The sequence below is a fragment of the Homo sapiens genome, chromosome X, assembly GCF_000001405.40.
Source record: "Homo sapiens chromosome X, GRCh38.p14 Primary Assembly".
In the NCBI taxonomy this organism is placed as follows: Eukaryota; Metazoa; Chordata; class Mammalia; order Primates; family Hominidae; genus Homo; species Homo sapiens.
This window is the reverse complement of record NC_000023.11, coordinates 20196878-20221595: the sequence shown is the minus strand read 5'-3', so window position 1 is coordinate 20221595 and position 24718 is coordinate 20196878. Positions and strand designations below refer to the sequence as shown.

Genomic DNA, 24718 nt, shown 5'->3' with positions numbered 1-24718 from the left:
AGAGTTGACAGAAACCGTATGTCCTGCAAAGCTGAAAATATTTACTATCTGTCCCTTTACAGAAAAAGTGATACTATGTGTAGTATGGTCCATATATGTGCATAGAAAAGACTGGAAAGAAAATCACCAAAATAGTGATTTTTTTAAATTTTTTCCCTTTTTGTTTATTATCTAAGTTTTCTACAATGGGCATCCATTATTTTTATAATAGTAGTTACTTTTTAAATAATAAGGTAAATGATTAAATCAATAAAATGTTTAAAACAAAACTTTAGTGAGATAAAGTTTAAGAAATTTTAGAGATGGAAAAAAAGAACAGTATCTAGTTTCATGTGCACAACCACACAAGTAGCATCCATTTCAGATTTCAGCATATGATATTTATTAAGGCAGCCATTTATTTGAGGTCTTATGTGTGATATTTGGTATTAATCTCAAGATTAATCTGGCAATGGGATGTGCTTAAACAGTAATAAATACCATAAGAGATGTACCAAAGGACTTCAAGAGCTCACATTCTGGTTAGGAGATAGATAACACCTGAATAAAGCAATTGCTCATTGATGAGTTGTAATGTGATTATAAGGAATTCCAATCACATGAGCTAGTCTTTTAACTTTGGTGCCTTTTGATGTAAAGACCTTTTAAAATTTTATAATCAAATCTGTATTAATACTTTCCCTTATGGTGTCTGCATTCTCCAAACAGGTAGCCATATATCCTAACATCTCCCTCTGATGTACAGTGCCACATTCTTTTCAGTCACTCTATTTGTGTTTTACAGCAGTACCACACTGTTTTAATTAAGGTATCATTTCAACTTGGAGACTTATTTCAGATTTTGGTGTCTGAAATATTGCTTCATTTTAGTGCTGATTATTAAAAACCATAACACACGCAAAATGTGAATTATTAACCTGAGCACTGGTAGTAATTAAAGCCAATTTTCACTAATCCTTTAAGTTTAAAAAAGGGTATTTGGTTGCTCATGTTTAAAAATATTACTTGAATAAAGTCAATGACTGCTACTTAACAGAGATATCCTACTTCATGAGTTGTGCAGTAAAGATGATGCTTTTTCCTGACATAGTCTCAAGAGCCACCTCATGTTCAGACTGCCATTCTGTGTTAGGCGGTTGTCCTAGCCTTGCTGCCCTTTTGGAGCTCCATTGTAAGGAGTCTTAAGTAATTCCTTTTGGGAGATGGGAGAGTTCCTAAGTGTCTGCCTTGCTGAAAAACTGAAGCATGCGTTTTTAAACAAGAGGAGTGCACAGTTTTCCGGGCGGAATTCAAAGTTCTATCTTAGATATTTATTTGGGTCCCTGTTGCTGCTAATGTATTTGATTGTATAAGATAATTTTTTAAATTGAGCAAGGTTTTTTTTTTAGTTACTCTTCAACTTCCATTAGGTCATTTATAGAACATTTTCATAAAAATTTGATAGAGGAGGAAGAGCCCTGGCTTTTCATGTAGAATCTGTAGCACAAAATGGTCTCTCTAATGTTTGCTCAATAAATGGGTACTAAACTGAACTCCCATTATAGATAGCTCTATCACCAAATATGGGCCTACCTTGACCACAGTTTCTTCATCCAGAAAGTGAGCTGATTATTCTTGGTATTTTCTAGAGTGTCTTTAGATTTTGAAAATTCCGTGCTTTTATTAAATTCTTACAGGCTGTGCAGATTAACACTTGAGGTTTTTGTTGGTTCCACATAGATTAAATGTTCATTAAGCAGAGCATTATCCCACAACTCTTGAAGCTGTTGTCCTTCGGTTGTTTTAAATACCACTATTACAGTGATTATGTTCTGAATATTGGCATACCTGTCATTTTCCAAAGTAAAAATACCTTAGAAAAACTTCTATAACGTATTAGAGGATGAAATGAAATGGAGTAAGGGATTATATGGTAGCTTGACCCCTCCTTCTTTTCCAACATGGCTTCTTAAGTGTTTCATTTTGCTAATAACCCAAGGATTGGACTTCTTTTTTTTAACTTATATTTTATCAACTAGGAATGTGAGTTTTTAACTATGGGCCTTTAAGTCTTTAACCTGGTTGATAATTAATGCTTATGACTAACATAAATTCAAAAGTAATTTACTTTCATTTAAGACAGGTAGCATTTGTCCTTACATCACAATTTTAAAAGTTTCTTGCCTGTGGTCTTCATTTTCTACCTATAGTTATGAAACTCTTCCTCATTGACAGGGAACACCCATGACATGCCTGTGTATAACCTTAAAATTATCTTGAGACCACGGCTTGAGTGTGTGTATAAACACACTGCAAAGGGTCAAATTCCACTTGTGCATCAGTTTAGCAACTTTTAGTAGTGGCAACTAGTTTCAGTTGTTTTAAAGGGTCATATAGTTAAGAAATTCTGGCATTTCTCAGGATTCTAAAATAATAACGTTTGTTTCACTGGTTGTGAAAATTGTCCGGATTGCTGGGAACTAGGAGAAAAGAATATTTCAACAGGATTTGGCTATCAGCAAATCTGTTTTGGTTTCCTATTCTGGCCTCCCTACCTATCCAGCTACATTAGTGCCCCTGCCGGCAGGTTTCTTCTTTCTTTTACCACAGGAAAATTGTCCGGCCTCTTTTTCTAGCATTTTCAGGACCCGCCTGACAGGAAATTTTCTAATTGCCGGAACAGCTGGTAGGAGAAAACTTTGCAGGGGCTTGGCCTTCCCTTTCTAACTTAAGTTTTACCGTCAGAAATTCTTTTATCACCATCATGGTTTCGTAGCCATGTTTAAATTTTTGTCTTTTCGTGTTCGCTCTATACAGGTAAGCTCTGTTCAGCTTCTTTTATAGAATAAAATGTTTTAGTTGGAGCTAACTATAATTACAGTAATTAGTTATTTCGTTTTATATGTTCTTTAAAGCAGCTTTTCAAAATTCAAAACCTGTTTTGATAGAACTTTTAAAGGATAATAGCTCTGTTTACTAAAAGCCAGTTATGTGTATTATACATTTCAACTCTGTATATTTTGTCAACTGACTTTTACGTTGTTTTTTTGTTTTTGTTTTTTTTAGTGCTAGAGTAATTTTTATCTTGCTAGTGTTTGTAATTTTGTATAGTAAAACAAATGACTGTAACTCTCAAAATTAAACCAGGCATAAACAGAATTGCAAAATTGCTAATATTTAGGAGATTACTATAATGAAAACAACTTTAGTGGGTAGGAGAGTATGTTATTTTAAGCAGTCAATAACTTAAAATCACATTTTGGTGGAAATTGGTTCCTGTAAAAACTTGGAAGTTTTTAAGCAACTCCATATTTAAGTAACTTTAAGCAAGTAATTTTATCTGACTTAGAGTAGGAACAATTTTCAAAGAATTATTCTGTTAAAATGGGCTTAGTGGATGTTAATTTGCAATATATTTAATCTACAATCCTGCCAAAATCAACTTGATATTTTGCCATGAGAATTGTGCTATCCAGCAGCTCTTTAAAGAGAATTAAATTTGCTGATCGGGATTCCAGATTGGGAGAAAACTCTGCTCTTTGTGGCGGTGATTAGAAATGTTAATCTGGAGAACCAGCTTGCTGTTTTCTCAAACATAGATAAAAGGAGCTGACTTATAAGAGCTTAAAGCTCTCTTAAAGAATTTGGTTAAATGAAAAATGTTGAGCTTATTTATCATTCCATCAGCAAATGAAGTAAATTGAATTCAGTCAGATTGTAATCTAGAATATATTAATACATAGTTTCACACCATGGCTTGAATAACCAGCCTAATTTTGTGTCACAGCAAAATAATTTTTATGTATCTTGATCATCTACAAAGAGGTTAACATATCTTTTTAAAATAAAACTACATGTTATAGAACTATAGGTATCTATATAAAGGGTGATAGTTTAATTTAGAATGACATTTAAGGGGCAAATAAAGTATGCATTTTTCATTTGTAAGGTCTTTTTTATGGTACAACAAAAAATGGTTACACATCCATAGTTAGAAAGTACTTATTGACTTTTACCAAGGAACATTTAAATATTTTACTTCAAGCTTCAGTAATATTTTCTGGCATTCAAAACAATTTAGAAAATACAAATGCCTCAAGAACACACTTCCTGACTCAGGGGAGGGGAGGAAAAAGGAAATTATGTATACAAGGCAGGGCATAATGCCAAATGTTGAATCATTCTTTGAAATCAGTTAATATCTCTCAGTTTGTTTTCTTAGTTAGCATGTTACAATATTAGGTTTTCGATAATTCAAATAGACAATATTAATTTCAGTTTCTTTTCTTTAATCCTTTTTACATTTTAAGATCAAAATGATATTTTTCTCTCACAACTTGAAAAGGAAACATTAGATTATTTTTTCCCCACTAAAGAGTGGACCTTAAAGACCATTGAGGTATAAACCTAAGGACGTTTTGTTGGTCCTGGGAAATAAACTGGGTGGCTTTTTGTGTGACTGAGGGACACCAAAAGATCCACCTGCCCATAAATTTTCTCTTCATTTTTCCATGATGTCCAAAATGACACTCTTTACAGAATTGTAAAAGTATATGTTTCAACTGAACTGACTTTGTTTTATCCATCAGGGGTCATATCTCAACAGATATTTATCTAATAATAAATCTTTGAGATCCAGGTAAATTGTCTTAGTATCTCTAACACCTAGTACAATACCTGGCCCATAATTTGAATGGCCTTCCAACAAAAAGGAATGGTCCTAACAGAGTATGTCATAGATCAGAAACATTTTCACTGGGACCAGGCATTCAGGAAAAAGCAAAAGCAGGAGAGCCGCCTGAATTTTAGTTCTCTCTTGACCTCATTCTTCTCTACCTCTCTTTCATACTCTCTGATTTAAACTCTAGTGTCCAGGTGTGCTCCTGCTGTGGCCTTTGTACTGGCTTGTCCCTCTCCCAGGAATGCTTTTCCCCCAGGTGCTTGACTTTCTCACCTCCCTCAGGTCTTTCTCAAATAGCATCTTCTTAATAAAGCCTGCCCTGACTTCTTTATTGAAAATTACAACCCCCCCCTTTCCATATCTGCTATTCTCATCTCTTTACTCAACTCAATATCTTTTCTTCATAGTATTTATCATGTTCTAACCTTTATTTACCTATTATTATTATTTGGTCTGTTGTCAAAACGGCAAAGTTTTTGGTCCATTTGACTTATTGTATATCCCAGCGCCTAGAAGAGTACCTAGCATGTATCAGGTACTCAAAAATAAATGTTTAAATGGATGGATGAATGAATTAGTGAATTCCCGTACATAGCTTAAGGGTATTGAACACCTAGGCTGAGGGAGGTGGCAAATGTCTGAAAGGGGTGGAAATGTAGGAAGAATGAAAGAAGACGTGATGTAGATCTGCTGCCATCCTGAAAATTTTGCCCACAGTCAGACTTTTGCTTATCAAATCAACAGTCTTTGTAAAAATAATAGCATGGAATTTATTATTACTGTTTTTAAATGCACAAAGTAAGTTTTTTGTGGTAATGAATGGACAGATATCCATTTATCATTTAAAAAACAGTTGTGCCAGAGAATGTAAAAATATGTGAGCCTCACAGAATAATTAGAATGTATATAATTTATATCTGTGTTCCAGTTTATTAACATAATATTTTTCCATAAAACTATTAATATAGCTGCTTTACCATGTACTTATAGGCAAAAATACAGTTTTACAAAATGTCAAGTCAAACTATAATTTTATGTTTTCATGTGACAGATTTATTTCAGTAACAGGTGATTTAGTGACATAAGATATGTTTGTCACATGCACATGTCAGTCTGTTCTTGGCTTATCACTGCCCTTGGAAATCTGATATTCCTTTCTGCATCCATCTCATTAGATTCCAAGTATGAGCTAGAAAAGTACATTGTTGCTTTCCTACCTGTTGTCCAAGATTGCCCAAGCATTAGTATTATGTCCTGGTTGAACCTTAGATTCATTTCTAAAATAGTCATGGTCCCATGACCTGGTGACATTAAGTACAATCTGGGCATTGAGATCTCAACCCAGGATATTTTGCCTATTATACTACTGTAATTTTCCATATATATAAAGTAGATAGAAAATAGTTTGCTGGTGTGATTAGTAAAAATTTAAGTCTTATGAAATTTAAACTTAGAAGGAACAGAAAAGCGTGTTCAGGATAAAACAGTGGCAGGTTTTTGAAACTTGAGCCAATGCCAAACTTGCCACAGGAATTGATCTTTTCTCTCTACCCTCAAGAGTATTTTCCGTACTCTCTGAGTCCTGATTTAGAAAAATATTTTATAAATCCCTGTTTGTATCCCTAAAGAGGTTTGAAATGATTGCATCTGTTTTGGGGGGAAGAGAGTAGGGAGTGGAGGAAGATGCTTTTTAAAACACACATACACACACACACACACACACTAAGAAAAGGAACACTTGAAAATGTACTTTAAGATTTGCCAGGATAAAAAATTTAGTATGAAAGTGGGAAGATAAAGTCAAGAAAGTCTCTTAGAAAGTAGAGACAGTGCTGGACATGATGGCTCATTCCCGTAATCCCAGCACTTTGGGAGGCCAAGGCAGGCGGGCAACATGTTGAGACCCTGTCTCTACAAACAAATCAAAAAATTAGCCAGGTGTTGTGGCACATGCCCGTAGTTCCAGCTACTGGGGAGGCTGAGGTGGGAGGATCACTGGAGCCCAGGAGGTTGAGGCTGCAGTGAGCTGAGATCGCACCATTGCACTCCAGCGTGGGTGACAGAGTGAGACCCTGTCTCAAAAAAAAAAAAAAAGAAAAAAAGAAAAAAAAGTGGAAACAGAAAATAGGAGAAAAAAATGACATAAAGGATTCCATTTCAGACGTACAATATTCAACTAGTAGAAGAGTCACAAAAAGAGAAGCCCTGAAAAATGGGTGGAAGGAAATTATCAAAGATATGTTAGAATTCCCCACAAAGTTAAAGAATTCAGGTCTTTAGATTATAAAGGTTCACCAAGCATCTGGCATTCTGAAGGAAAGAAGACCCTATTTATCTCACTATTGGGGAATTTCAGAAACACAAGGACAGAGAAAATCTTTAAAGCTTCCAGAAGGAAAAACCAGACCTACCAAAAAGTGTGACTAGACTAGCATCACCCATCTCATCAGCAGAACTGGATGCTAGAAGGCAATGGATCTATGGTGTCAAAGTTCTGAGCCAAGATTATTTTTCTTCTGGAATTTGGTACTAAGCCAAACTATACAAATGGGAAGACAAAATAACAACATTTACAGATGTGTGAGGTTCAGAAAGTTTTCTTCCACATCACCTTTCTTTGGAAGTTACAAGGGGGTAATCTAAGAAAGAGACATAGAAAACTGAAAACAGTGAATTCAACCAGAAAATCACTGAAGACCTATCCCAAGATGATAGCTGTGCAGCGGGCCTACAGAACCACCAATCCCGATGGGAGGGTAAGAGAGGTCTCCAGGATAGAAAGGAGCTCTCAGAAGAAAGGAAAATATTGCTAAGGGCTAAGAAAACATTAAGAATAGTGGTCAAATTACTTTTCCCTTTCCCCAAGAATGGTGGAAGGCTGTTAAAAATAGGAAAAAATAGAAAAGTGCATGATAAATTCATGATCCAAATGGGAATCAAAGTAAAATTTATCATGAATTTAAACATTTAATGAAGTTTTGTTTTTTTTTTAAGTCCCCTCAGATTGGCCTGGGAGTCGTTGTTATGGGCCCATATAAAAGGAAATTTAGTATATTACCTAGCCTTCATTTGAACCATATATTGTCATGATAATGTGGATGCTGTTGTCTATAGGCTTTCAACTTTAGAATCAGGCTATAGAGAGAGCATGAAGGATTTGGTTGTGGCTGCAGGAGGAAATGTTAATTTTCTTTTTTTTTTCTTTATTTTATTTTATTTTATTCTATTATTATACTTTAAGTTTCAGGGTACGTGTGCACAATGTGCAGGTTTGTTACATATGTATACATGTGCCATGTTGGTGTGCTGCGCCCATTAACTCAGGAAATGTTAATTTTCTTAAAATTAATAGCTTTAATATTAATAAAATTACATACAGCTAGCAGCAAATGGGAAGAAGTTTAAGAGGAAGAATATATGGGCACTATTAGCCTCCTTTTGCAAAGGGAAGAGTTAGGATTCTGTCCAAAGCAGAGAAAAGATAAGAAGTGTATGTAAAGGTAATATAATTACCAAACAATAGAGAGGAAGATGATGAAGTGAAGGGGCATAATGTAAGTAAGTCCCTCACCTTTCTTAAGTCAGTAGACATTGTCTTAAGGTTAATAAATTAAGAAATTATCAAAGTAGATGCAGAACTAATTTTTTTTCAAGTCTAGGCGTGAGGGTGAGAAGAGACTTGCTTTTCACCATAAGCTATTCTGCCACTGTTTATTACCAATGTGCATGTATTACTTTGATTTTAAAAACAAAAAGTTTAGGGAATAAGAAATAACCTGGGTTGACAAAAGGCTATGTGTAAGAGAATGTTGGGAGATAATATCACAAAAGTAGGTTGAGGCCATATTGTAGAGGACCTCGAATGCCAAGGTGAAGCAGTGCATTTAATTTGAGAAAACTTGGAGTTTTTTAACAGCCTGGTCATATGACTGGAGCTGTATAATTTCAGAAAATGAATTTGTCAAAAAGATGAATTGGAGTGGACGCAGGCAGAAAGGGATATTATGAGTAACCAATCTAGTTTCAGTTTTCTAGCTGAAAGGTAATGAAGGCTTATACCTTGATGATACCACTGGAAATAGAAAAAGAAAGAATGAAAAGTGTTCTCAACACTGTGCTTGATACATAGTAAGTGTTTCGGTATGTGGTTGTTATACTGAAGGGACCAAAGGGAGACACTACTTTTTTTTTTCTTTTGAGACAGGGTCTTGCTCTGCTGCCCAGGCTGGAGTACAGTGGCATGATCATGGCTCACTGTAGCCTCGACCTCCTGGGCTCAAGCGATCCTCACATCTCAGCTTCCTGAGTAGCTGGGACTACAGGCTCGCACCAACCACCACACCTGGCTAATTTTGTAAATTTTTTTGGTAGAGACAAAGTCTCACTATATTGCCCAGGCTAGACTCTACTTTTTGTTGTTGTTGTTGTTGTTTTGAGATGGTGTCTCTCTCTCATCACCCAGGAGGCTGGAGTGCAGTGGCGTGATCTTGGCTCACTGCAACCTCTGCCTCCTGGGTTCAAGTGATTCTCCTGCCTCAACCTCCCAAGTAGCTGGGATTACAGGCACCCACCACCACGCCCAGCTAATTTTTGTATTTTTACTAGAGACAGCATTTCACCCTGTTGGCCAGGCTGGTCTCGAACTCCTGACCTCAAGTGATCCACCCACCTCAGCCTCCCAAAGTGCTGGGATTACAGGCATGAGCCACCGTGTCCAGCCAGACTCTGCATTTTTTTAGTAACTTATTTGACATGAGATGAAAGGAAGGGTAGTCATCAAAGATGAGAGTAGTAATTGTTGTTTATTTTGAAATTCATGGCCTGATTGTAGCTCACACTATTTAAGGGTAAGGGTTGATCCTGTATGCCTGCTACAAAATGGAATGTGTTTATAATTCAGTGATTATTCTTCCCTGCTTGTGTTGCATCTTTATTTGTGACCATCAGTTTTTGTAGGATTTGCTATGAAATATAAGGTGAAAAAATACTGTAACCTGATAAATCACATCCCACTTACCTAAAAAAGAAAAATGTAAAAAATATATAACATTACAAAATAGAGTTCTTCATGACCTCATGATTTAAAGGCATAAATGGCTGCTAGATTCCAATTAGGCTCTTGAACAGATAGTTTTTTTGTTTTGTTGTTGTTGTTGTTGTTTTGGTTTGGTTTTTTTTGTTTTTTAATACGAGGCTAACTGACACATGCTGGAATCCAGCCCATTAACTTGGTTAGTCTTCAGAGTGTGACGTGACAGCACTTTGGGGTATAGAAAAAGAAAAGAAGAGAACTTCTTTACGTGTATATAATTTTAAGGATACAAATATTGTGTGTGTAGGTTTTGTTTTGTTTTGTTTTGTTTGTTGTTTTGGTTTTTTTTTTTTGTTTTTTTTTCCTGCTAAGGATGTGCTACCAAAAAGTTCAAAGAACACTGCTCTAATCAACTGAGCTAACAGACCGGTTACAAAGACCAGGGTCATAAGCCTATAGGTTTCCTGTCATTGATCTCAGTGTGGTGTAATGGTAAGGGCCTTGTTTTCAAAGTCAGGAGACCTAGAATTGAGCCCTAAGTCTACCACTTACTGGCTTGTGATCTTAAGCCTTCAATTAATCTCTTTAAATTTCAGACTATAGAATATTCAGACCAGTTTGTTTTTAGAGTATGTGTCAAATTTCTAGTGGTAAATGGGAGAGTACATAGAAAACTCTGAAATGTTTATGCTTGTTCTAAGGTTTACTCGTTTATGTTGTATCAGCCCTCTCTAACATTAAATACGTGGTCAGATTTGTTGTGAAGCATGAATATAAAACATGAAAAAACACCTAACACAGGGTTGATATGTAGTAGGTGCTCAATAATAGTATTTCCTGGATTTCTATCTAAATCTTAATCCCACATATACTTTGTTCTTTGAAAGGTTTTTTTTTTTTTTTTAAATTTGGTAATTTGCTTCCTGCCTTTCCTGTTGTACTAATGGCTACTAACAGCTATCACTCTGAAGCCCTTGGTCTCATTTGGAGAAAAGGGTGTCTGAAACCCTTGTACCTTGGTCTTATTTAGAGGAAAGAGGTAGCGTTTTAAGAGTCAGCTAATGCTTGGTTCTACGCTAATACCTACTGCACAGGATCGTTGTGAGAATTAAAGGAGATAATGCATGGGAAATTGTGAAATAAAGAGCTAAACTGATGTTAGGAAATGATTTGATTATTGTTTCCGAAGTCCCAGGGGAGTCCAATATGATTGAACTGCCTAAGTAGTAGGATAACCTACAAATTACAGCCTCTGTCTTCAAAATAAAGTAGTGGGCCTGGATTCCTTTTTCTCCTCTTCTGGGAGCTTTTTTCCTTTTACTACTCATTTTCAAAAGCTACCATGTTAGGGTATTCTGGTATGTCCTTTTGAGAAATCTTTGTAATTCCTTATATTGCCAGCATTCTAAGGACATCTCAGAAAATGTTAATTGAATGCAAATGTTTGTATGGGATATGATAATAACAAAAACAATGGATTAGTTATGTTTACATAACACATTGAGATTCTACTAACAGTACTTACGCACCTAGAAAAAAATAACATTATAGTCAACAAAATAGAAATGCTAGTCTTTATTTGACAGGCTTATGTTTCTAATTTTGTCAGGTTTTGTTTTGTTGTAATTTTTGACTATAACATACCGTATGTGTCTTGATTAAATAAGATAACCTAATCTGCTGATCTCACATAAGTAATTGAAATCCTGTGTGTATTTCATACATTTTCTCTTTGTTCTGACACTTTTCCTCAAATATATTAAAATGTTCACTGTCTTTTAAAATCCTTCTCTTAACCCAGATACTTCTCACTGTTCCATCATGCTGAATAGTCATTTTTTTCCATGTCTGATTATCCATCCAAATGTTAAATCTTTTCTCCTTTTGTGTTTTAGAGTTACTCCTTTCTCCCCTCTCAGATCCCAGATTATTCTAGAAACAGAAAGTAACTTAGACATTTCAAAGGAATAAAACTTCAGTGTACTTAAACAGCCACATTGAGGTTAGAAATCTCCATGTTTACCCTGGAATATTTTTCAACCCCTCTCCTCAATAAACACTTTTTTTAAATAGCATTAGTTCTGCGTAGCATAACCATACACCAGAGCACAGCAGATTATTCCAATCTGTTATTTTCAGACTTCTTTACACCCTCTGCCCCCACCCAATAAAACTATTCTAATTATCTCCAGTAGAGAGAATGAAGACTTGGAAATACTTAGTACTAAATGTCATGTAGAGGTTAAATTGGCCTATGTAGTAGGCTGGTATAATAACTGTCTCTGACATTTAACCTGAAAGTATATGTGTGTGGCATATTCACTTGATGGGTTGGTAAAAGGTGGTTTTTGTATGTTAATTTGGGATTTCTAATATGTTTAGAAATTAGATTGATTTCTAATTAATTTCTAGTAAGATTAAATTAATATTGTTTGATTTTTAGCGGGAGAAAATAGCTCTGGCTAACCCTGTTTGCTCCTCTTACGTTTATCTCAACAGGAAGAAGTCAGTATCAAAGAAATTGCAATCACACATCATGTAAAGGAAGGACATGAAAAGGCAGATCCTTCCCAGTTTGAACTTTTAAAAGTATTAGGGCAGGGATCATTTGGAAAGGTAAGTCATGAGTGTGTGCTTTTTTAAGAGTTGTCTTTTCAATTCATATGTATTTCATATACATGAGGAAACAAATATTTTATGAAATGCTACCAGTCTTCCTACCAGCAATGTTTTCTGTTTTTTTACATTTCTCACTATCAGTAAGTGGGAAAGTGAATAAAGTTGTTCAAAAGTACGTTGGAGACTTCAGTAAATTGGTACTATTTGCTTCCTACTTTATCTTCAAGAGCACATGACCTCTCCAGTTGTGATTCTTAAATTGTTAAAAATCACAAGATATTCCCTTGATACACTGGCCTCTTTTTGAGTCCTTGGGTAGGGTTGGAAGGTGATCTTGCAATACAGCGCATCTCAGCCTCCCTTCCAGCGTACTCTAATACCAGCATAAAGTGAGTGACGCTCCCAAAGAAGTAGGGTTGGGGGCTACCGCTACAATTTTGAAGTTTTCTTGACTCCTGGCTTGTCTTTAAAATGAATGCAAAGTTTGCATTTTATCCAGTAACATCGTGTTTGTTTTTAATATCAAAAAATGTTTCCCAAAGCCACCAAGGAAAATTCCTCCAGAAGGCAGGGTCTGCCTCCTCTGTCACCCAGGCTGGAGTACAGTGGCATGATCTCGGCTCACTACAACCTCTGCCTCCCAGGTTCAAGCAATTCTCCAGCCTCAGCCTCCTGAGTAGCTGGGACCAAGGCACACACCACCACGCCCAGCTAATTTTTGTGTTTTTTTTGTAGAGATGGGGTTTCGCCATGTTTCTCAGGCTGGTCTCAAACTCTTGAGCTCAAAGCGATCCACTTGCCTCGGCCTCCCAAAATGCTGGGATTACAGGCGTGAGCAACCACGCCCGGCCGAAGATGCAACATCTTTATCAGTGTTTTTCATGTAGCGCTTGTCTCCCACCACATACATACACACTGCACACCTCAGGGGCACTTCTGTACTCCATTTTGAGAAGTACAGCATCATAATTACTACTGCTTGATCTGTTTAGACCAGGGGTCCCCAACCCCCGGGTGAGCATTGCCGTTTGAGCACCACCTCCTGTCAGATCAGTGGCAGCATTCAATTCTCATAGGAGCACGAACCCTGATGTGAACTGCACATGGGAGGGATCTAGGTTGTGCACTCCTTATGAGAATCCAATGCCTGATGATCTGAGGTGGAACAGTTTCATCCCAAAATCATCTCCCCCTCCCACCGCGCCAGTCTGTGAAAAAACTATCTTCATGAAACCAGTCCCTGGTGCTAAAAAAGGTTGGGGATCACTGGTCTAGATTGTTTCTTGGCAAGAGGAAAATTTGGAGATTGTATTCAACTTTGACGATGCAGTGATTCCTTACCACTTCTCTGTAAGGAAATATTTGAATATATCATGCTTTGCAAGTTTCAGAACAGCACCAGTTTAGCTCTCTTGTGTATTTTAGTGGGGGTATTTAGCAATTCTTGGCTAACATAGGTAATTTGTTACAGTTGTTAACCTCTTTTGAACCCAAAAGGATGCTTTTAATCCAAATAAAGAGTAAGTAGCCATCAGAGCGTAATGGTTGTAAGTTTGGGCTCTAGGTCAGCCGGACTTCAATTCAATTTTTTTTCTTCTATTTATTCACTGTGTGTGCTTGAGCAAGTTACTTAACCTCTTGGATCCCCATTTCCTTCCTCTAGCCAGTCATTAAATATTGAAGTTCTTCAAGGTTCGATTCTAGGCTGCCTTCTTCTCTGTTACTAATACTCTCCTAATTGATTTTCTCTGTGCCTGCTATCTTAATTGTAACTCACATACAGCTGACATAACACATTTATATCTCCAATCTAGATTGCTTCTCCAAGCTCTGAATTCTTATGCACAGCTGCTTACTCTTTTTCTATGTCTTAAAAGCACTTTAAAGTCAACATGTCTGAGACCAAACTCATGATCTTTCCCTAAGCCTCAAACTGTTCTATTTCATTTTTCTCTCATTAAGCAATTTAGAAACTTGGGAAGCGTTCTTGATGTATATTTCTAGTCCCTACCTCCCCTATCCCACTCTGACCTGGCCAGTCTTATCTGTCACCAAGTACTGTAGATTCAGTAAAGATTTCTCAAAGCCTGCCTGCCACCCCTTGAGAATATGCTACCACCTTTCTTCCTGGTCTATTGAAGGAGTCTCCTAACTGGGTCTTTCCAAATGTATTCTTGCCTTGATCCATTATTTACATGATAGCCAGCATGAACTAATCTTTTACTCTACCCCTCCATAACCTTTCAGCGTCCTCTCTTTGCTTTTACGATAAAGATGAATTCTTAAGATGGCTGAGGAGCCTCTCAGTCTGGTCTCTAGCTACCTCTCCAGCATCAGTTTACATACTTTTCACTCTCTGTGTTCTGGTCACATTGGCTGCCTTTGTTGGTCCTTAAGCAGGACCAAGTCCTTAAGCTCCATCCTGCTAGAAAGCCTTTCCATATTTTATTCCTTCTGCCTGAAACACTCTGCTCTACCCCTGCCTCTTCCTCAGCTTGTTAGCTCCTCTTGCACCTGTGATGTCAAGGAAGCTTTCCCTGCATCCTTCCTAGGTTATGTTCCCTGGTTATACCCTCTCAGAACATTACATACGTCATCTTCATGGCACTTGCCACAATTGCAGTTTTTCATTTGTTTAATTATTTGTTAAGTGGCTGTCTCCCCCACTAGACTAAATGTTCCATGAGTGAAGGAAGGGTCATGCCTTGTATCAAGTCTCAGCATTGAACCAGTAGCACAGTGCCTGGCATATAATTCTGGAAAGAATTAATGAGTGTGTAATAGTTCTGACTCCATAGGAGAGTAGTGAGAATTAAATGATAAAAGGCCAAGCATATAATATCTGGTATTAAATTAAATTATCACACCACTCAAACCCAAATAGATGGGTAATTTTTATACATTAGATTTTCAGGGAACACAATATTTAAGTTGTTGGAATTAGCATGCTTCTCCCTTTACGTCTTTAAAAGTAATTTAAATATCATACTATAAATACCAAACATTCAAAATAGGTTGTCTCCTTTCTTACTCATTCTGAAAGGCCACAGTAAGCCAAGGAAACAGGGATGACCTGTCAGAGACTAGAATAGCTTCATGGGGGAGTGAGAAAAGGTCAGAAATGCTCTGGTGGAGGAAGAGATGGCAGCTGGGACCGCTGCTGCTCCTGCTGGGCTTGCCTGGTTACTGGCCAAAGGGAACAGATAAACAGCACCCTGAGCAGAAGCAGAATACTGGGTGACTGACACGGACTCTGTCCCAGTACCTCCACTGTGACACTGGGCAAATTACTTAACCCCCTAAGCCCTAGTTTGGACAGCTATAAAATAGGCATTGCCTAGTAGGTCTGCCTCCCAAAATTGACACGATGATTTATTACAAATGGTTGTGAAAGTATTTTGCAAACTAAGAAGTGCTGGAGTGTTAAGAAGATGCATTCAAAGAACAGTTGAAAGTTTGGAATTCACCAGGAGAATTTTTCTTGCAGAATGGTTAGGGAATCTTAAGGAAGATTAAATATCAAATAAATCCTAATTATCTCTACCTAATCAGATTTTATTTCCGTCAAAAATATTAATAATCTCTGATTACCTTTAATACTTAAACATCATTCCAGAGCTTACATCCACCCTGATTAAGGATGCTTTTCTCTCCCTAGGTTGGCTCCCCACTAACTGGCTGAAAGGAGCTAAAGCGTGGGGCATGGTGAAAGGGGGTGGTGATTATTGGAGAGCAACACACCCTGTATCAGGGTTTCTCCGCGAGTTGTGGTGCTCTTCACTTGATTTGGGATCTTGCCCATTGACTTGGCACAATTTCTCAAAGTGAGAAACTCTGCCTTGTCCTAGAATCAGTTGAATGAATCATTTTTTAATTTTGTGCTAATAGCCTGATGTGCTAATTCAGATGAATGAAAGCTGATCCTAAACTTAATTCTTGATTGTGGTTGCTTCTCTTCTTCCCACCTGTGGAAGCATAAGAACACTGCTACAAAAGAATGGATAGGGAAGAGGAGTTGAAATTCAAATCTATTTGGCATATCTATTTAAAGGTTCAATGGAAATGATCATGAACCTAATGGTCAAAGTGAGTAGAAGAGATGTATTGGTAGTCTTGTATTAGCCATGTTATAGAATGACCATGAGTTATTTAGAACAGGCTTTATTCATTTTGCGCAAATATTTGCAAAGTCAGGATGCCCAATAACATACCTGAGAATTGTGTTCTTCATATTTAGGTGTATGTGATAATTTGACCATAAAAAGGTGGGGAGGTGGGTTCTAACTTAAGTCACATTAAATATTTGTGCACAGGATTCTTCAGTGTAAGTTTTGTTTGTTTGTTTGTTTGTTTTTGCTTTTCATTTTGTTGTTGTTGTTGTTTTGAAACGGAGTCTGGCTCTTGTTGCCCAGGCTGGAGTGCAATGGTACGATCTCGGCTCACTGCAACCTCCACCTCCCGGGTTCAAGTGATTCTCCTGCCTCAGCCTCCCAAGTAGCTGGGATTACAGGTGCCAGCTACCACATCTGGCTAATTTTATATTTTTAGTAGACATGGGATTTCACCATGTTGGTCAGGCTGGTCTCGAACTCCTGACCTCAGGTGATCCACCCGCCTTGGCCTCCCAAAGTGCTGGGATTATAGGGGTGTGCCACCACTCCCAGCCCAATGTAAGTGTTTTAAATTGTTCCGCTGAGCAGTGAGATTTATATGCAGCTTTTGTATACAGAAAAGACCCTCCATCAGTGAATACTTGTATCAACAGGAAATTGTGGTCAAGAAGGAACCGCCGTATAACAATTTTGACGGGCTCAGTAGAATTCTGTTTTGTTAAAAGCAGGACATCATACCACCTGTGTTATACTTTAAACATTTTGGGATTTTTTCCATCTAATTCATACATATGTAGTTTAAAGGGTTTTTTTCTGTCTTAATGTGTTACATGCTCTTTGGGAACTGGCAAACAACAAAATGAAAAAAATGTATTCCCTTATATTGACACCCCAAGTTATAACAAATGTTTATAACTAGTATTTATAATTGATACATTTTAGGGGAAATAATCTACAGTATATCTGAATCTATATTATAATAATAAACTGTATTATAGCAGGGTCTTATTTTAACAAGGATATAGTTTATACTACTTTGTAATATTTATTTTCTCTTACTTAAATGCAGGTTTTCTTAGTTAAAAAAATCTCAGGCTCTGATGCTAGGCAGCTTTATGCCATGAAGGTATTGAAGAAGGCCACACTGAAAGGTAAGTGTTGCTGCTATTTGTAATGTTCATGTAGTCTAAACAAACTGAAAGGTCTCAATAGAGCTCATGGGACTCCTTGGCATGTTATTTACATTCTGAATAGGTTCCTGTTACCAGCTTTAAATTTAGGCTGACTTTTAGTGAATTTTTCCTGCTAGGCTAGGAATCATATAACTAGTGAGAACCAGAGTTGCCACGTTATAAAAGACGTATTATAAATTCATATTGAGTTTTATACAAGTAAACATTTAGAAGATTAAAACTGGGTTTGATTCATCTTCAAATTTATATATTTATTTTAATGTTTTTAAAAACGTACTGATTTACTGGCTGCAAAATAGCTTTTATTCTAAAGGACTTTATGACTTCTGGTCTCCAAGTAAGTTTTTATTCTGAGCCTATGATTTGAAAACCCTAATGCAGGATTTGGCTCTCATAGGTAAAAAGTAGTTAAGAAGAGGCCGGGCGTGGTGGCTCACACCTGTAATCCCAGCACTTTGGGAGGCCGAGGCAGGCGGATCACCTGAGGTTAGAAGTTCGAGATCAGCCTGACCAACATGGAGAAACCCCATCTCTACTAAAAATACAAAAAATTAGCTGGGCGTGGTGGCACATACCTATAATTCCAGCTACTCAGAGGCTGAGGCAAGAGAATCGCTTGAACCCGGGAGGCGGAGGTTGCTGTGAGCCGAGATCGTGGCATTGCACTCCAGCCTGGGCAACAAGAGTGAAACTCCGTCTCAAAAAAAAAAAAAAAAGTAGTTAAGAAGAAATATAGATTTAAAAATACTTAACTCTTCCTTTAATTTAGTGGTATCACTTATTTTAACCTCATAACCTCTAGATGTTTTGTGTATTGATTACTAAAAGTCCATTTTTTCCTCTTCAATTTACATGTAATTTATAAAGCTTTGAAAATATTCTCTAATATTTGCAATGATCATTTATTATTTCTGTTATTCCCAATTAGTTACCCACCATGGACATCCCAAGAAATTTCACTTCTCTCTGTAAACACTGTCGTTTGCTTCCATTCTGTTAACTCCCTTCCTGAACATATTTTCTTTCCTATTCAGTCCTACCCCATGGCATTACCACTTACTTGATTCCTGCTAGGACCAGGGAATTAAATTATATCCTCAATCCCCTGCCTTTCTGTCACTGCATTTGTGACTTTATACTCATGAATCCCATGTTACAAAGCTGCATAGATGAGACTCAGAGTTCATTCACAAAAGCAACAAAAGTAGTTTGATTTTATGTATTTAACAGGATTTGTATTGTGCATAGTGTATGTAAAGGAAACTACAAAACTCTAAGAAACCTAAAAGTTACCAGGAAAGGAAATAAATGCCCAATCCCTATTAGAGAAGGCCAACTGTTAAGAATCTCACTACTCCTCTAGCCATTCAGTTACCTCAATATCATTAAGATTCCAGCTGCATTTTCCTTAAAACTTAACAAGATAATTCAGAATTTTATTTCCGAATCCAGAATATTTTGGAAAAGAAGAATAATAAGGGAACAAGCTCTCTCAGATCCTAATGCTTCAAGTAGCACTAACTTAGTGTGTTATTGGGGGGAGTAATACAGGCATAGAATCAGTGGAACAAAATAGTACAACATATATATATCAAATTTTAGTGTATTTGTTACAAAAATATTGAGTACCTGCCATGCTGTATGACAAAACAGGCATACAGAACAATGGGAAATTAAGTAATGATACCCCTGAGCTCAGCCGGGCACAGTGGCTCGCACCTGTAATCCCAGCACTTTGGGAGGCCGAGGCAGGCAGATCACCTGAGGTCAGGAGTTCGAGACCAGCATGCCCAACATGGCAAAACCCCGTCTCTACTAAAAATACAAAAAAAATTAGCCGGGCATGGTGTTGGGTGTCTGTAATCCCAGCTGCTCATGAGGCTGAGGCAGGAATATCGCTTAAACACGGGGGGCGGAGGTTGCAGTGAGCCGGGATCGCACCACTGTACTCCAGCCTAGGCGACAAGAGCAAAACTCCGTCTCAAAAAAAAAAAAAAAAAAAAGAAAAAAGAAATACCCCTGAGCAAGCTGGAAAATAACACCATAACAAACTCCACCCTAACTGAATTTTACAACTTAACACATCTAGGAAACTTGTGAGGAAATATTGAGCAAATTACAAACAAATTAGTAATACAAAAATTGTTAACATTTCATACAATGAAAAATAGTATAAATAGGAAGACAGGAAAATATATTAATATAAGGAGTTGGCTAAGGGGCTTCTACTGGCCAAATCTGGGGCAACTTAAACATTGCAATAATAAATGTTAGTGATAGATTACAAGCCAGTTGAATAAAATAAGAAGCCATAGGTTAATTCATAAGTTAATTAATGGGGGAAAAGGGAAAACTCTTTCTTGCAATATAATTCCAACTAATAAACTTAAAAAGAATGAAGGAGTTAGGAATTGATAAGAAATACCATTATATCCTCCATCTGGAGGATTTTGAATAAAGTTTACACAAGGAGATAAATAATCTTTGGGGAAATGTTCAGTTTTGGTGAAAGTCAAAGATGCATATTAAAATAATAAAGTTTGCTGGGCACAGTGGCTCGCACTTGTAATCCTAGCACTTTGGGAGGCTGAGGCGGGAGGATGGCTTAAGGACAGGAGTTCAAGACTAGCTAGGGCAATATAGCAAGACCCTGTCTCTACAAAAAATAAAAATAAAATCAGATGGTTGTAGTGGTGCAAGCCTGTGATTCTAGCTACTCTGGAGGCTGAGGCAAGAGTATCTCTTGAGCCCAGGAGTTTGAGGTTGCAGTGAGCTGTGATCACACCACTGTACTCCAGCCTGGGTGACAGAGTGAGATGAATGCATGTTATTTCATATGATGGCAGCATAAATTGGAAAGCCATTATTGCTGCTACATTAACCTGCGGAAATAGCTTCAAAAAAAGGATTCATAGGCTTGAAAATTCTTGTTGCAACATTATTTATAATAGCAAGAAGTTAGAAATCACATACACACTGGAAAACTAGAGGAATTGTGACCAGGCATAGTGGCTCATTCCTATAATTTCAGCACTTTGGGAGGCTGAGGTGGGAGGATTGCCTGAGCCCAGGAGTTCAAGACCAGCCTGGGCAGCATAGTGAGACCTCATCTCTACAAAAAATAGAATAATTAGCCAGGCCTGGTGGCGTGTGCCTGTCGTCCCAGCTGACTGGGGGGGCTAAAGCGGGAGGAACGCTTGAGTCTTCAAGGTTACAGTGAGCTTTGATTGCACCACTGTACTCCACCCTGGGTAGAGGGAGATCTGTCCCTAAAAAAAATTTTTTTTAATAAGGAAAAATAGAGAAACGTTATAAAATTATGGTTTACCACTTAATAGGATATTATTAAAATAAAGTATCTTAAATAAAATTACAAAAATGAATGTAGTGAAAATTAGAACAAATTGAGCTACAAGTATGTAAAATTGTATAGATATTAGCTATAAAAGAGATGATAGAAAAGTGAAAATATTTGACTTATTGGAATTTTAAACTGCTGAATAATTGTGAATGTGTTCTTAAATTTTTATGTTTATCAAAAGAATATCTGTAGAGTCTTATCATATAACATAGCTATGCTTTGCCCACTCTTCTGCCTATCCTAATTCTTGAACCCCAGAGACAATGACTTTCATCTCTTTAGCTGCTGCCATTTACATTTATATTCAACACTTTTATATTGCAATTGTTTGTTTTCATTTGGAGACATAATCTATTGCCTTTCTAACATGGAAGACTAAGATTCAGTTCTCTCATGCTGCCACCCACTCACAGTTTCCCTTTTCACATCTTCCCAATAATGTTTTCATTGTTACAGCTTTATAAGAATTGTTCCTAGCTGAACGAAATAGTATACTACAGTCACATTTCCTTCACTTCTTTTCTGTATTCAGTCTCTTTTCATAAATTCTGTGCCTACCTTTTTCTCAGTTTACTTTTTAGTTTTGATGGAACTCATCTTCTCATAGCTACCTCAGAATGAGTAAATGGATACTAAATTTTTTGTGACCCTCCATGTCTGGAAATGGCTTTATTCTACCGCCTGTCACTTAGTTTATAATTTGGCTGAGTATAAAATTCTAGGTCAGAAAGAATTTTCTACCAGATATTTGAAGGTATTGCTTCCATTGTCTTCTAGTTTCCTGTGTTACAGTGATGAAGTTAATTGCTGGTCTCACTCCCAGTCCTTTGTGTGTAAGCTGCTTTTCCTCTTTGGGAGTCTTTAGAATCTACTCTTTATTCCTGGTGTTCTGAAATTTATATAGTGGTATTCTTGAGTGTGGGTTTCTAAAACTATATCATATGATATATGAGGTGTGGTCTCTTTCAACCTAAAAACTCCTTTCTTCAGTCTTGGGAAAGTTTTTGTCATTTATTCTACATTTGTAAGTGCTGCTCTTTGGAATATGTTAGTTAAACCTCCTGAATTGTTCCTTAATTTTCTTTATTTTTCCATCTTTTATTTTCCATTTTTTCTATTTTCTGTGAAATTTCTTCAACCATCTTCCAACTCTTCTATTGACCTTTTTGTTTCTGCCATCGCTTTTCATTTCCTAGATTTTCTTGTTCTCTGATTATTTCATTAAAACATTTTTCAATTATGGAAAGTGTCAAACATTTAAGAAAGAGACAGAAGAATATAGTGAACCCCCTGTACCCTTCTCCCTGCTTCAACATTTATCAACTCATGGCCAACCTTTTTTCATCAGTGTTCTCCTTCTTCTTCTCTTGATATTTTGAATGAAATCCCAGACACTATAGAATTTCTTTCATAAATATTTTAGTATATATCTCTAAAAGATAGACTCCTGGCTGGGTACGGTGGCTCACGCCTGTAATCCCAGCACTTTGGGAGGCCGAGGCGGGTGGATCATGAGGTCAGGAGTTTGAGACCAGCCTGGCCAACATGGTGAAACCCCGTCTCTACTAAAAATACAAAAATTAGCTGGGTGTGGTGGCGGGCACCTGTAATCTCAGCTACTCAGGAGCCTGAGACAGGAGAATCGTTTGAACCCAGGAGGCGGAGGTTGCAGTGAGTCGAGATTACATCAGTGCACTCCAGCCTGGGCGACGGGGCAAGACTCCATCTCAAAAAAAAGATAGACTCCTAAAAGAGATAATTCAACTGTATTATCATACCTTAAAAATGAGCATAAAGATATCCAGTCTTTGTTCAAATTGCTAGTTGTCCCTACTATTAAAATTTATGTTTCTTTATGCAGTCTGTTTAAATTAGGATCCATACATATAAGGTCTCAACTTTGCAATTGGTTGATAATGTTTTTAAGTCTTTTCATCTATGAACTCTTTCTTCATTTCTTATCTTTTCCTTGTAGTTTATTTGTTGCGGATACTTGTTCCTTCCTCCACCCCACCACCCTTTTTAAACAAGAACAAGAAGCTTTAAAAAGGGTGAGGTGCCATATTATCTTTGCTCCCTCAGTGGACATAAATTACAAGATTGAGTTGTGTTGTGTGGTGTTTAAGTTATCTTCTGTTCCTCACATTGTCTCTGTTTCCCTTTATTCCATTTTTCTGTTTATTTTGATGTTTTTCATGTTTAGAGCCTTTCTCCAAATGCCTGGGGGTCTTTTGCTATCTTTTCTTTAAGAGTCGGGTGCTAGAAAGCTGATTGGAAAGATTTCAATGACAAGAATTTGCTTATTTTTCATTGGCTTCTTTTCCTTAGGCTTAGATTTTTAGCTTTCTCTGGTCTGCTTTGTTAGTTACCACTTGCACATCTTCTACTATTGCTTCCTGTCCTTGTGAGTTTATGCAGTTTTTCCATTATTGTCATTTCCATGGGGTTTTGGAAGAATGTAGAGAGTAAAATATCCATGTTTAACCAGAAGTCTCTTCCCATTTTAAAGTTCCTGTTAATACGATAAATGGGGTCAAATACAAGTCAATAACATTAGATAAAGTTAATGGGGACTTCTGTCCTATTAAAGTGGTCTGTTTGTCTAAAAGGTTCTGTAAACTGCTTAAAAAGGTTTCTTAATGCATAGTCCTAGGAACATAAACAACATTTCTTCATTCTCAGGTTCAGTCAAGTAGGGCTTAAATCTAATAACTACTCTAGAAGAAAAAATATTTCAGAGGAATCTAGTTGCTTTGCCAGCATGAGTCAGTATTAACCAATTCTATGTTGGGATTAGAAGTTGGCCTATATAAAACATGCCTTCTTCTGAATTAGTATATACTAATTAAAATTCCTCATGGTAGGATGATTTAGAATTGTCACTAGGTCTTTACATAAGCAAAAGAAACGAGATTAGAATTATGACACAGGCCTACCTCAGACAAAATGAAGGAATTCTTTAGAGAAGGACTCTCACTGCTCATTTTCAGTTAAACAAGGTCTCATCAATGTTACATATAAGGAAATGTTGAAGAGAAAACTGTCTCACAAAAAAATCATCTTGGTTCTAATCCTTCATTTTATAGAGGAGGAAACAGGAAATCCCTGAGCAATGAAATGATTTGACCAAGGTAGTTATGAGTTCATCTAGTTATTAGTATAGCCACTAAACTGTAGTTCTTGACTCCCAAATAATTGTTCTTTTCATTGTGGTAAAATAAGACAAGAGGGATATACAGTGCATTTATTAGTGGATATTTTTGATGCTTACTGAGCAGACGAGGTATTTTTAAGTGATAAGCCTTGTATACTTATTGAAAGAGGTAGGACTTTGGAATCCACCTTTAAGGTGATAGGAACTAATCCAAAATTGTATGGTAATAATGAGAAAAGGACAGATTTAGGCTAGACTAGAATAGAAATATCAGCAGGTATTGGTGATGAACTTCACTCACATAAAAAGTACAAAGGGCATATCAGGCTGGGCGTGGTGGCCCGTGCCTGTAATCCCAGCACTTGGGGAGGCCAAGGCAGGCGGATCACCTGAGGTCAGGAGTTAGAGACCAGCCTGGCCAACATGGTGAAACCCCGTCTCTACCACAAATACAAAAATTAGCCAGGTATGGTAGCACAAGCCTGTAATCCCAGCTGCTCGGGAAGCTGAGGCAGAAGAATAACTTGAACCCTGGAGAGGGAGGTTGCAGCGAGCCGAGGTCACACCACTGCACTCCAGCCAGGGCG

General features: G+C 37.1%; 1 protein-coding gene across 17 annotated transcripts in view; it reads left to right on the top strand.

Annotated features, from left to right (window-relative positions):
- Nucleotides 1–24718, top strand: part of RPS6KA3 (ribosomal protein S6 kinase A3) — a 117187-nt gene that overhangs the window by 45502 nt on the left and 46967 nt on the right. For 14 of the 17 annotated variants that reach the window (XM_011545561.3, XM_017029719.3, XM_047442335.1 and 11 more), the window contains 2 exons: nt 12192–12308; nt 17493–17574. In XM_011545561.3, coding sequence (XP_011543863.1) covers nt 12192–12308; nt 17493–17574 — 199 coding nt within the window. Of the gene's footprint in view, nt 1–2648; nt 2797–12191; nt 12309–17492; nt 17575–24718 lie in introns of those variants that run through there. The other 3 variants (XM_005274577.4, XM_017029718.3, XM_011545562.3) reach the window with 1 other exon arrangement.